Raw genomic sequence first — 14,373 nt, forward strand, 5'->3', positions numbered from 1 at the left:
GACAGAGGTTGCAATGAGCTGAAACTGCGTCACTGCACTCCAGCCTGGGCAACAGAGCAAGACTCCATCTCAAAAAAAAAAAAGAGAGAGTTTTCTTGATGCCGTTAATTAAGAGCTTACATTGCTAATGACCTGAAAAAAAAAAAAGAAATCTTTTCAGTGTCAAAGCCTGAAAATCCCCTCACTCACATCACTCCGCCTCCACAAAGTACTCACCATGTTCTTCAAGATATGCCTGGAGTCTGTGGATAAGATCTTGCTTTATTCCCTTGGTCTCCAAACCACGAGCAAGACATTCTTGCTTTAGTTCGGCAAGCTGAGGGGAAAAAAATAAAACTTTTCCTTAGTTAACAGGATGAACACCAGTGAATAAAATGGTAGTTCCCACAAGGAAAAGAAAAAAAGAAAATGAAGTTCCATCCCAAATTACTGCCCTTAATTCTACCAAGGCTCTAGGTCCACAAAGATGATCCATTTTCCTCTAACGATATTCAATATACAAGAGGAACTGCCTAACAGATGCTGAAGAATAAACATCACACTTTAATAAAAAACCTCATCTATTTGTATACCTACTAACTGTCACAAATCTCTAGTTATTTCTAAATATTCTGAGGGGGGAAAAAGGTTTTTTTCTTAAGACTACTGTGGCAGCCAGCATATTGGAAGAATGAACCTTCAAGTAGAAAATCCAATGATCTAAAAGCAGATTCTCCTTACCACTTATTATCCCAGATCCGTTATTACAATCTACCATATACATGCATACAGGTCTAACCACCATAGAATTAGGTAGATGCATTAGCTAATGTGAACAATGAATTGATTAAAGGATCTGTGTCAAAATGGGAAGAAATATCTAATGGCATACCATAGAGTTCTGCTGAAGATTTAACTTATCTAAAGATATAAAAGCTATGTTCATCAATTTTACAGACAATAGGAGGAAGGAGAATTGATGGATTATTGACATAACTAAGCTTAAAAAATGCAACACGGAAACAGAAAAAAAAAAAAACACTTCTTCAGGACTAATAATAAGCCAAAACAAAGACTCAATTTAGTAGGAATAAGGTATACATATAACTTCCTACACTTAGATTCAAAACTTCAGTTATATAAAAACTGGGTAAGGGAGGATTGGCTCAATAGTAACTCAAAGGATAAAGACATCAGAATTTTAGGCAAAGAAGGTTAACAGTATGATTTGCTACCTATAAGTCATAGGTAACTGAAATATAGACTCCATAATAAACGATGTAATGGCCTTACTGGGCTCTATACTCTTATTTTACGAAGCACAACGACATGCTGACCCAGGAGAACAAGCAGGAAAGAAAGGCTCCAGAAATTCTATATGCAGATCAACACACAGATAGATCTTTGGTCTGAAAGATGACCTTTTTTGTTTTGGAGTACAGATCTATGACCAATCAGTAGAAGCTAGAAGGCAGACTCCTATAGACAAAAAATTTTACAACTATGGAGGATGCTCTGCATCTCTACGTTTTTCAGCTAGGAGAACATTTCATAATGAAAAGTGGAGAGTTTTTTAAAACATATCACAATGGCCGGGCGCGGTGGCTCACGCCTGTAATCCCAGCACTTTGGGAGGCCGAGGCGAGTGGATCACAAGGTTAGAAGATCGAGACCATCCTGGCTAACACAGTGAAACCCCGTCTCTACTAAAAATACAAAAATTAGCCAGGCGTGGTGGCAGGCGCCTGTAGTCCCAGCTACTCGGGAGGCTGAGGCAGAAGAATGGCGTGAACCCTGGAGGCGGAACTTGCAGCGAGCTGAGATCGACCACTACACTCCAGCCTGGGCGAAAGTGCGAGACTCCGTCTCAAAAATAAATAAATAAAATAAATAAAACATATTACAACGACTAGCAAAGCATTTAGTGAGTGGGGCGGGCAGGCAGGGATGCTATGAACAGAACTGCCCAACCCAACAAGCTGAAAGCAACCTCTACTGAGGAACATGGTAGGTAATCACCCATTAAAAATTATTTTTAGGCCAGGGACAGTGGCTCACGCCTGTTATCCCAGCACTCTGGGAGGCCAAGGCGGGCAGATCATCTGAGGTCAGGAGTTCAACAGCAGCCTAGCTAACATGGTGAAACCCTGTCTCTACTAAAACTACAAAACTAGACCAGGTGCGGTGGCTCACGCCTGTAATCCCAGCACTTTGGGGGGCCTAGGCAGGCAGATCAACTGAAGTCAGGAGTTCAAGACCAGCCTGGCCAACACGGTGAAACCCTGTCTCTACTAAAAATACAAATATTAGCTGGGCATGGTGGCAGGTGCTTATATTCACCCAGCTATTCAGGAGGCTGAGACAAAAGAATTGCTTAAACCTGGGAGGCGGAGGTTGCAGTGAGCCAAAATCGTGCCATTGCACTCCAGCAGGTGAAAGAGTGAGACTGTCTCAAAAAAATAAATAAAAATAAAAATAAAAATATAAAATACAAAACTAGCCAGGCATGGTGGCACATGCCTGTAATCCCAGCTATTGAGGAGGCTGAGGCAGGAGAACAGCTTGAACCTGGGACGCAGAGGTTGCAGTGAGCCGAGATCACATCATTGCGCTCCAGCCTGGATGCCAAGAACAAAATTCTGTCTCAAAAAAAAAAAAAATTATTTTTAAGGCTTTTGCCAGTTTTAAAAAAAAAAATGACTGCAGAGTGACTGGAGAGCATAGCCTCTGAAGCCAGACTACTTAGGTTTGAATTCCAGTTTTACTACTTGTAACCTTATGTGAATAACTTCACCTCTCTATGCCTCAGTTTCCTTACTTGTGAAATGGGAATGATAACAGTACCTATTTCATAGGGTTGTTATGAAGACTAAATTAAAAAAAATTTTTTTTTTTTTTTTTGAGACGGAGTCTTGCTCTGGTGCCCTGGCTGGAGTACAGTGGCATGATCTCGGCTCACTGCAACCTCTGCGTTCCAGGTTCAAGCAACTGTCCTGCCTCAGCCTCCTGAGTAGCTGGGATTATAGGCATGTGCCACCATGCCTGGCTAATTTTTGTATTTTTACTAGAAGCAGGGTTTTACCATGTTGACTAGGCTGGTCTCAAACTCCTGACCTCAAGTGATCCACCTGCCTTGGTCTCCCAAAGTTCTGGGATTACAGGTGTGAACCATAAATTAAAGGAAAAAAAAAATTTCTTGAGACGGAGTCTCGCTCTATCACCCATGCTGGAGTGCAATGGCACGACCTCAGCTCACTGCAACCTCTGCCTCCCGATTAGCTGGGACTACAGGCGCATGCCACCATGTCCAGCTAATTTTTGTATTTTTAGTAGAGACGGGGTTTCACCATATTGGCCAGGCTGGTCTCGAACTCCTGACCTTGTGATCCACCTGCCTCCGCCTCCCAAAGTGTTGGGATTACAGGCATGAGCCACCGCGCCCGGCCTTAAATCAAGAATTTTATAAAGCATTTAGAACAGTGCTTGACAGCCAAAAAATGCTTTATATTTATTAAGTACTAAATCACTGGTCTCAGATTTGAGAGTTTCACAAATCAATGCATTTTTTATTTTATTTATTTTTAGAGACAGTGGTCTCGCCATGTTGCCCGGGCTGAACTTAAACTCTTGAACTCAAGAAATCCTCCCACCCGAACCTCCAGCTGGGACTACAGGTACACACCACTGTGCCCAGCTCAATGTACTTTTAAATAGGTAGGCTGATAAGGTTGCTTTTTACAATATTCCAATCAGGTCACGGAGCAATACTTTCGCAATAACAATAAAAATCAATTACTACAAAAATGAGCGTAGTGACTTGGATATAGCAGTGACATCAAACTGCTATAAAACTTTCTAAAAGCTTACACTCGGTTTTTGTATTTATCTCACTACTAACCAGGAACAGCTAGTTCATGGACCAGCACCCCAAGGACTGTGAACCACGCCTTAAGTAACATTATAAGTGATCTTTAATGTCCATTTATTAAGTAACAATCTTGATCTTGGTGGCTTATGCTTACAATTCCAGCCCCTTGTGAGGCCAAGGCGGGAGGATTGCCTGAATCCAGAAGTTAGAGACCAGCCTGGGAAACACCATGAGATGCCATCTCTATTAAAAAAAATTTTTGGTCGGGCGTGGTGGCTCACTCCTGTAATCCCAGCACTTTGAGAGGCCGAGGCAGGCGGATCATGAGGTCAGGAGATAGAGACCATCCTGGCTAGCACGGTGAAACCCCGTCTCTACTAAAAATACAAAAAAAAAAAAAAAAAATTAGCCGGGCGCGGTGGCGGGCGCCTGTAGTCCCAGCTCCTCAGGAGGCTGAGGCAGGAGAACGGCGTGAACCCGGGAGGCGGAGCTTGCAGTGAGCCGAGATCGTGCCACTGTACTTCCACCGGGGTGACAGAGCGAGACTTTGTCTCAAAAAAAAAAAAAAAAAAATTTTTTTTAAGAATCTTGATCTTTCTCACACTGATACATTATTTTCTTCCCACTTCCTGGAGAACAAGTCTTTTGATCTTAATTACACTTTAAATTTTTTGTTTGTTATAAAAGTATTATGTTCACTGTAGAATAGTTAGAAAATTCTGAAAAGTTTAGAGGAAAATAAAAGTCGTATGTAATCCCAGCACTTACAGATCACTTAACATTTACATATATCATTTGTAGTGAGGCGTGAGCCACTGTGCCCAGCCTACACACAGCTTTTACATAGTTGTATTACTTCTTTTGTTATATAGTGAGTTCTTCTCATATACTAGGACGTTATTTTAAAAGGAAAATAGACATTATTTTAAAAGGAAAATAGAGGCTGGGCATGGTGGCTCATGCCTGTAGTCCCTGCAAGTTGGAAGGCTGAGGCAGGAGGACAGCTTTGAGCCCCGGAGTTCAAGAACAGCCTGGGCAACAGAGTGAGACCCTGTTCCTACAATTTTTTTTTTTTTGAGATGGAGTTTCACTCTTGCTGCCCAGGCTGGAGTGCAATGGCGTGATCTTGGCTCACCGCAACCTCCACCTCCCGAGTTCAAGCAATTCTGCCTCAGCCTCCCGAGTAGCTGGGATTACACACACGCGCCACCATGCCTGGCTAATTTAGTGTTTTCCCATGTTGGTCAGGCTAGTCTCGAACTCTCGACCTCAGGTGATCCACCCGCCTCGGCCTCCCAAAGTGCTGGGATTACAGACATGAGCCACCACGCCCAGCCAAATTTTTTTTTTAATTAGTCACACAAGGTAGCACACGCCTGTGGTCCCAGCTACTAGGGAAGCTGAGGTGGGAGGAACGCTTGAACCTGGGAGGTCAAGGCTGCTATGAACTGTGATCACACCACTGTACTCCAGCCTGGGCAACACAGCAATACCTGGCCTCAAAAGAATGAATGAATGAGAAACAGATGAATAAAAACATAAAACAGCTGAAAATGATGTAATTTCTTTTTGCACGTATTTCAGCACAATTACATTAGCAGAACTAAAACCTTTTAAAACTTAAAATAGGAACTAACATAAAATCTTATCCCATTTTTCTAAATTGATTTGATTTGATTTGAAATGTTTTGGCTCCAACACTTTGGGAGGCTAGAGGTGGGCAGATCACTTGAGTCCAGGAGTTCGAGACCAGCCTGGACAATATGTTGAAATCCCATCTCTACTAAAAATACAAAAACAGCCAGGCATGGTGGCATGTGCCTGTAGTCCCAGCTACTTGAGGGGCTAAAGCTGGAGGATGGCCTGAGTCCAGGAAGTCGAGGCTGCAGTGAGCCGAGATCATGCCACTGCACTCCAGCCTGGGTAACAAAGGGAGACCCTATCTCAAAACAAACAAAAAATATTTTAACAAGTATACTGAATGAATTGTATGGTACGTGAATTGTATCTCAGTAAGGCTATTGAAAAAAAAAAATTAGCCGAGCATAGTCGCATGTGCCTACAGTCCCAGCTACTCAGGTGGCTGAGATGGAAAGATCACTTGGGTCTGGGAGGCTGAGGCTGCAATGAGCCATGATCATGCCACTGCACTCCAGCCTGGGCAACACAGTAAGACCCTGTCCCAAGAAGAAAATAAACAAAAAAAACCAGCTAGGTAGGCACAGTGATTCACATCTGTCATCCTAGTACTTTGGGAGGTCGACGCAGGAGGATCACTTGAGCCTAGGAGTTCAAGACCAGCCTGGGCAACACAGTGAGACCCTGTCTCTCAAAAAACAAAAAACTAGCCAGGCACACTTGTAGTCCTAGCTACTCGGGAGGCTAAGGCAGGGGCATCACTTGAGTCCAGGAGGTTGAGGCTGCAGTAAGCCATGATCACACCACTGCACTCCAGCCTGGGCGACAGAAGGGAGACCCTGTCTCAAAAAACAAAAAAAAAAAAGAAAAGAGTTATAGAACATTCTATAAGGATACTAACATTAATGTAAAAAATAATACACACACATCTCTGTATAATGTGTATAAACAAGATGCCTGGAGAAGAAACAGGTAAGTTAACACTGGTTGAATCTGAGAAGAGGAAGCTAGTTTGGGAAAAGTGTAGGAAAGAAACTTTTTACCATATACTCTTTTGTGAACTTGTGCATGATTACCTATTCAAAAAGTTTTTTAAATCTTATTTTTCAGTATCAATAAAGCATTCTCCATTCTACCTATCCAACCCACAGAGAAAAGACATATCAACTTACCCTCATCATACATTTGACATTAATCATGCATTGCCCTGTGATTTCTATTTATTTTTATTTTGACTCAGGGTTTTGCTCTGTTGCCCAGACTGGAATGCAGCAGTGCAATCGCAGCTCACTGCAGCCTCGACCTCCTGGGTTCAAATGATCCTCCTGCCTCAGCCTCCTGTATAGCTGGGACCACAGGTGTGTGCCACCACAGCCAGCTAATTTTTTTATTTCCAGTAGAGATGAGGTCTCACTATGTTGCCCAGGCTGTTCTTAAACTCCTGGGCTCAAGTGATCCTCCTGCCTCAGCCTCCCAAAGTGTTGGTTAGGATTATAGGCGTGAGCCACTGTGCCCAGCTTGCCCTGTGATTTCTTCTAGTTAACTGACCTTGAATTTTTTTTTTTTTTTTTTGAGACTCAGTTTCACTCTTGTCACTCAGGCTGGAGTACAGTGGCACAATCTCGGCTCACTGCAACCTCCGTCTCTCCAGTTCAAGCGATTCTCCTGCTTCAGCCTCTCCAGTAGCTGGAATTACAGGCGTGCACCACCATGCCCAGCTAATTTTGTATTTTTTAGAAGAGATGGGATTTCACCATGTTGGTCAGGCTGGTCTTGAACTCCTGACCTCAGGTGATCTTCCCGCCTCGGCCTCTCAAAGGGCTGGGATTACAGGCATGAGCTACCACACCCGGCCAAATTTTGATTAAAATATTTTATCAGAAATCTTTTTCACGTTGGCCAGGCGCGGTGGCTCACGCCTGTAATCCCAACACTTTGGGAGTCCGAGGCGGGCGGATCACCTGAGGTCAGGAGTTCAAGACCAGCCTGGCCAACATGGTGAAACTCTGTCTCTACTAAAAATACAAAAATTAGCCAGACGTGGTGGCAGGCACCTGTAATCCCAGCTACTCGGGAGGCTGAGGCAGGAGAAGGGCTTGAGCCCGGGAGGCAGAGGTTGCAGTGAGCCAAGCCAAGACCACGCCACTGCACTCCAGCCTGGGTGACAGAGCGAGACTCCATCCCAAAAAAAAAAAAAGAAATCATCTTTTTCATGTTATGTCAACATATAGTTTGTAAATTCTTTGAAGGCAGAGATGTTTTAGACCACCTATAACATATATGATGGGAACTCAAAATCCTTACAAGGAACCTAAGTGGTTGGTATTACAATTAGGCTTAAAGAAATTCAATAACTTGCTTAAATATCACACAGCTTGGCCAGGTGTGGTGGCTCATGCCTGTAATCCCAGCACTTTGGGAGGCTGAGGTGGGAGGATTGCTCAAAGCCAGGAGTTTGAGGCCAGCCCTGGGCAACACGGGTAGACTCTGTCTCTACAGAAAATTAAAAAATTAATACACAGTTCAGGTGTGGTGGTGTGCCCCTGTAGTCCCACCTACTGGGTGGGAGCAGGGGCTGAGGTGGATCACTTGAGTCCAGAAGACTGAAGCTGCAGTGACCCCTGATTGTGCCACTACACTCCAGCCTGGGAGAAAAAGCGAGACACTGTCTCAAAAAACAAACAAACAAACAAACAAACAAACAAACAAACCACAGCTTGTAAATAGTAGACCAATATGCCAGCTCAAGTGTCTCTGATTTATGCTCAATATTAACTGCCAAAGTCTTGGCACTTCTTTCTTTCACTCTCTCCTCCTCAGCCTCCTTGCTAGCTCTTCTTCCACTCAAACCTGTAAATATTCACTAAGATTCCTTCTTTGGGCGTCTTGTCATTCCACATATATCAAAGGCTAATTCACTTCCCGATTTCAATCAGCGGCAAAGTCTATCAGCATTATCTTTAAAATATATCCAAAATCAAACCCTTCTCACCACGGCAAATGCTACTACTCTAGTCTTTCTTTCATACAGATTATTGTCAAAATTCTTCAGCCCTTGCCTCACTATAGTTTATTCTCAACAAAGTAACAGAGTGATCTTTTGAAAATTTAAGTCAGAACATGTCACTCCTCTAGTCAAACATCATCCATTGGTTTCGTATCTCACTAAGGGTAAAAGGCTGAATCCTATCACCTAAAAGGCCCTGCAGCTTTGCCCTCCCCTACCATTACCTTATTACCATTGCTCACTCTGATAAGCCAAACTGGTCTTGTGCTATTCCTCTAACACTTTGCACATAGCTCATTCCTTCACGTCCTTCAACTCTTTTTGTAAACATCTCCTTGTTAATGACTTCCCCAGTCACTCTATTTAAAATTACAATACCCTTCCCATTGTACTCCCTATTCCTTTCTCCTATTTTTCTCTATGTGCCTTATCAATCACTATTTGACATACCATAAATTTTACTTTTTATTTTGCCTTCCCTCAGTAAAATACAAGCTCTATGAGAGCAAGGATTTTGTCTCTGTTGTTCACTGCTGTATCTTTGGCACCCACAGTAACTGGGACATGGCAGGTGCTCCATATTTTCTGAATAAATCCCAAGTCTTCATCATCAGCTTTCAGCTCTTGAGTGAAAGACCCACATTTCCAACTGACTACCTGACATGTCCAAGTGGATGTCCCACAGACACCTAAGCCTCAAAATGAACTTACCTCTTCTGTGCAAAACTGGCTTCTCCTCCTCCCAACCCAGACTAAAGGTATCACTACCCAAACCCTGGAGTCATCTTTCATTTTTCCCATATCTAACTGATCTATAAATACTTGAAATTCTACTACATCCTAAATGTCTTTCAAATTCATTCCCATTCTTTTGAAGTCTTGACATGCTTATTCACTCAACAAATCGTTATTGAGCACCTACTGTATTATCAAGTATTATCTTGGATACAGGGAAATAATCATGAGCAAAACATAAGAGTCCTTCCCATTCCGAGCTTACAATCTTGCAGAGAACAAACCAATCAATGATCAGATAGCGTTTAGCTGATTTTTTTTTTTTGAGACGGAGTCTCACTCTGTTGCCCAGGCTGGAGTGCAATGGCGCGATCTCGGCTCCTGCAACCTCCGCCTCCTGGGTTCAAGTGATTCTCCTGTCTCAGCCTCCCGAGTAGCTGGGATTACAAGTGCGCGCCACCAGGCCCAGCTACTTTTGGTATTTTTAGTAGAGATGGGGTTTCACCATATTGGTCAGGCTGGTCTCAAACTCCTGACCTCGTGATCTGCCCACCTTGGCCTCCCAAAGTGCTGGGATTACAGGCATGAGCCACCGTGCCCGGCATGTTTAGCTGATTTTTTAAGAACACACAGGGTCTTATGAAATTATATAAAAAGTGGCCTGACCATGTTTGTGGATAGAACATAGAAAGCTTCCTTGGGTAAATAATATTTGAGTGAAACACCTGAAAGGGGTGTAGTAATTAATTAGATAAACGTGTTAGGGAGGAAGGGCAGCCGGAGTACTACAGCCGAAAGAAAACTCCAATTGCAGCATATGTGAAGGTTCTAGGTTGAGGTAAGAGGGAGAAGCAGTGTGCAATGATTAGAACATGAATTTTGGACACAGGCTGCCTGGAATTTTTTTTTTTTTTTTTTTTTTGAGACGGAGTTTCACTTTTGTTGCCCAGGCTGGAGTGCAATGGTGCCATATCGGCTCACCGCAACCTCCACCTACGCGGTTCAAGTGATTCTCCTGCCTCAGCCCCCCGAGTAGCTGGGATTACAGGCATGTGCCATCACGCCCAGCTAATTTTGTATTTTTAATAGTGACGGGGTTTCTCCATGTTGGTCAGGCTGGTCTCGAACTCTCGACCTCAGGTGATCCGCCTGCCTCGGCCTCCCAAAGTACTGGGATTACAAGCGTGAGCCACTGCACCCAGCCTGCTTGGATTTAATATACAACATTTTAGCTGTGCAACCTAAGGCAAGTTACTCAGTTACTCTCTCTGAGCTATGGTTTTTCTTATTTTCAAATGAGGATAATACAGGTATTTACCTTACAGGGTTATTATGAGAATTAAATCAGTTAGTGTATGTAAATGGCTTCAAACAGTGCTTTGCCACATAACAAATGCTAAGTGTTGGCAATTGATGAAGCATTCTGAAGAAATTAAATAAAATAAGGCCACAGTAGTTGAAGAGTTAGTAACTATGCTGGAGAGACGGGCAGGGATATAATTTAAAGGTTTTAAGCAGGGGAATGACTCCTATAATAAATATCTAAGTGGTGAAATCGCTCCCCCTACAAATCCCATCCGCCAAGAGAATACAAGCTGATCACATCAAGCTCCTCCTTTCAAACTTCCAAAGGCTCCCAGCCCTACTTCTTACATGACAAAGGCCAGAAGTCCTTACATAACTTAGAAAGCCCTTTTCAATATCACTCTGATTTACCTTTATAGTTTACCTATTTTCCTTTCCAAACTATCTTCAACTACCAATATATTTCCTCACTTCACTTTTCAATACAAATGTCTCACTATTCTCAACACTCTGACACTACTATCACTTTCTCCTCTCCTCTGCAATAGTTCCTTTTCTAATGTTTGACTGGATATCTGATACTGTTACAGTTCAAGCCATTTTCATCCACAGTTCAATCTCTCTTTCCAAATGTGTTAGTATGGGCCAGGAGTGGTGGCTCATGCCTATAATCCCAGCACTTTGGGAGGCCAAGGCAAGAGGATCACCTGAGGTCAGTCAAGTCCAGCCGGACCAATAACATGGTGAAACCCCATCTCTACTAAAAATACAAAAATTAGCCAGGCATGGTGGCACGTGCCTGTAATCCCAGCTACTCGGGAAGCTGAGGCACGGGAATTGCTTGAACCTGGAAGGCGGAGGTTGCAGCGAGCCGAGATCTTGCCACTGCACTCCAACCTGGGCGACAGAGCGAGACTCCATCTCAATTTAAAAAAAAAAAAAAAAGAATGACTGCATTTCTACAAAATCCTCAGAAATTTGCTGTTGATATGACATTACATATCAACTCAGATACATACTATGTTTCCTTCCTGCTTCAAAAGGTATTCCCTTCCCCTGAGGTTCCATACCAAAGCCCAAAATTCTCTTTATGACAATGGAGAGATTTTTTTATTTTCTTTTTTTTGAGACAAGGTCTCCCTTTGTCACCCAGGCTGAAGTGCAGTGGAGCAATTATCACACAGCTGACCACAGCCTTGGCCTCCCAGGCTCAAGCAATCCTCCCACTTCAGCCTCCTGAGGAGCTGGGACTACAGGTGTGTGCCACCATGCCCAGCTAATTTTTTAATTTTTTTTGTAGAGACAGGGTCTCACTATGTTACCTAAGCTGGTCTCAAACTCCTGGCCTCCGCCTCCCAAAGAGTTGGGATTACAGGTGTGGGTCACTGCACCCAGCCAAGATTTTTTTTTAAGGCAATAAAACCCCAAGTCAACCCAGAAGTCAGGATCATTGCATCAAGATCACCAGTGGAACCAAACATTAATTGTCCTAAAAATCAGAATCAAAGGCATGAGTTCTTTTTTTCTTTTTGAGACGGAGTCTCACTGTCCCCCAGGCTGGAGTGCAGTACACCATCTCGGCTCACTGCAACCTCCAACCCGGGCTCAAGCGATTCTTGTGCCTCAGCCTCCTCACAGCCTCCTCAATAGCTGGGACTACAGGCACTTGCCACCACACCTGGCTAATTTTTGCATTTTTGGTAGAGGCGGGGTTTCGCCATGTTGCCCAGGCTGGTCTCGAACTCCTGGCCTCAAGCAATCCGCCCGCCTAGGCCTCCCAAAGTGCTAGGATTACAGACGTGAGCCACCACGCCCAGCTAAAGGCATGAGTTCTTAACCAGAGGTCCATGGACTCCTCGGGGCTACAAGGTAGTTTTATGAAGCCCCTCAAACTGCATGCAAAATATGTGTACATGCCTTTTTCTGGGGAGAGGGTCCATACCTTTCATCAGAGTTTCAAAGATATCTGTGACCTCCAAAAGGTTAAGAAGTGCTCTAGAGAAAAAGCAAAGACAAGCAAATGTGATTAAAGAGCAAGTCCTTTTTAGGCTGTCAGGAGTGCCTAATGTTCTCTTAGACTGTAACACTGAAATCAGGTCAGAGGACTTTACGTAAAAGTTACTTATCCAATCAAATACAAATTTTATATAGACCTGACAAATACAGATTTGATGGAAGGAGGAACTCCATAAACCAACACAATCTATAAATGCAAGTAAGTCATCGGGCAGCTGGTGACTTACTCCAGGGATTTCAAAAATAGGACAAATAGGAAGAAAATATTAGCTCTTCTATATATAGTTCCTTTTTATCTCATTCAAAAATTCCTTTTCTGTGTTATATTTTATAACAGTCCAGAAGTATACAATTTCTATAAGTACAGTATATATAAACAAAGTGGAGATGATTGCTCAATTTTTTTTAACTCATCACAATAAAGATCAAGAGACCGCTGATATAGTCTATGCATTTCAGTATCATCAAGTTAACAATAACTCCAGAATAACACAAAAACCCACTAACAGAGTTTAGAATCCAAGAGTAAGAAAAACATCAGTTTCACAGAAAGACTAATTGGGGTCAACTAATAAGTGACTAAAGAAGGGTCCTCTCCCTACCCTTACTACCCTTAAGCTTTCTTAACAGCAACAAAAACAAAAAAAAACTTTTCGAGCTTTAAAGGATCACTTTTCAGTTTCAGCTATATCAGCCTGGTTTGTCCAAAACATCTAATGGGAAAACTACTTGTGAAACCACAAACAGACAATTACTCAAGATATCTTAATTTACCCTAAAAGAAAATACTTTTTAAAATGTTCTTCTTTTTAATATATTTTTTTAACTTTTTTATATATCTAAGTGTGAAAAAACTACCAAGAGTCTCATAAGACAATTTAAAATAGCTTCTGTGATTCAGTGTCAGCCAATGGTAACACCAGGAGATGCAGGGCCCACCCGAGATATGAAATGGAACAGAGATAATCTTAACCTTGGAATTGTTTTTCCCAAATATTGCAGGTGTGAGTTCTCTCTGGTGGTTGGAGATGGTGTGTGAGGAAGGCTGGCGGGCCGAGAGCCGCGTGACAGAACTCGAAAACTTTTAAATCTGAGGTGTCTGTACTTCTACTATTCTCAAGACCTCCTCAACCCCAGGCTTCTAAGGCGAGACCGATCTTCTGAGAGGCCTCTCCCTGTTTCAAAATTCGGCTTGGGGCGTAATCCCACCTAGAAAAGGGGAGTGGAAGTATTTTCTGAGTGTCTGGTACCTATTTAGACAGAAATACACAAAAATGCCACCATTTGCTAACAGGGAAATCTCAGCTTCGGACGACAGACTGGAAACATCATCCCAGGGAAGAAAAACGGATCCTGGCTCCGACATGGGGCAAAAAGGAGGGACCAACTGACGTAATGCAGCCCTGAAAAGCAACGAAGAGTATAACAGGTAGAAGGCACTTACACAACCCAGTGGGGAAGGGTGACGGACGATACAATGATGAAGGAAGCAGAAATAACAAATAAATATAGCAGTAAAGCCGTGAGGAGAAATGGGAAATTAGGGAAGGCGTAGTGTGGAAGGGTGGCACAAAAGAGCTACGGCGGGAGCCGAGAAACGAAGTGGAAAAGGCTGCACGGAGAAGACGTAGGAGAAGGCGCAAGCTACCCTGTAGAATTCAGTTCCTAGAAAAGTCCAACTCAGCCCTTCCCCGATTCACGGTACCTTTAGCTTATGGAGCTCCACCGTCTCGGTCGCCATCTTGTTACCCCTCACTCCACTAGGCCCCCACCCGCGGCCTCCGCCTCCAGGAGCTCCCGCCTTAGGCGTAGAGATGCAAGGCTG

General features: G+C 43.2%; 1 protein-coding gene across 3 annotated transcripts in view; it reads right to left on the minus strand.

Moving 5' to 3' along the window:
• The window catches only part of SARNP (SAP domain containing ribonucleoprotein), a 65,262-nt gene extending 50,950 nt beyond the window's left edge, over window positions 1–14,312 (minus strand). For all 3 annotated transcript variants that reach the window (NR_026722.2, NR_026723.2, NM_033082.4), the window contains exons 1-2: window positions 14,254–14,312; window positions 217–316 (exon numbers count right to left, since the gene is read on the minus strand). Coding sequence is in view for 1 of the 3 variants with exons in the window: in NM_033082.4 (NP_149073.1) it covers window positions 217–316; window positions 14,254–14,289 (136 nt within the window). In the remaining 2 variants the exon portion in view is untranslated. The remainder of the gene's footprint in view (window positions 1–216; window positions 317–14,253) is intronic.
• Window positions 14,313–14,373: the final 61 nt, after the last annotated feature.

Source organism: Homo sapiens, chromosome 12 (genome assembly GCF_000001405.40).
Source record: "Homo sapiens chromosome 12, GRCh38.p14 Primary Assembly".
Lineage (NCBI taxonomy): Eukaryota > Metazoa > Chordata > Mammalia > Primates > Hominidae > Homo > Homo sapiens.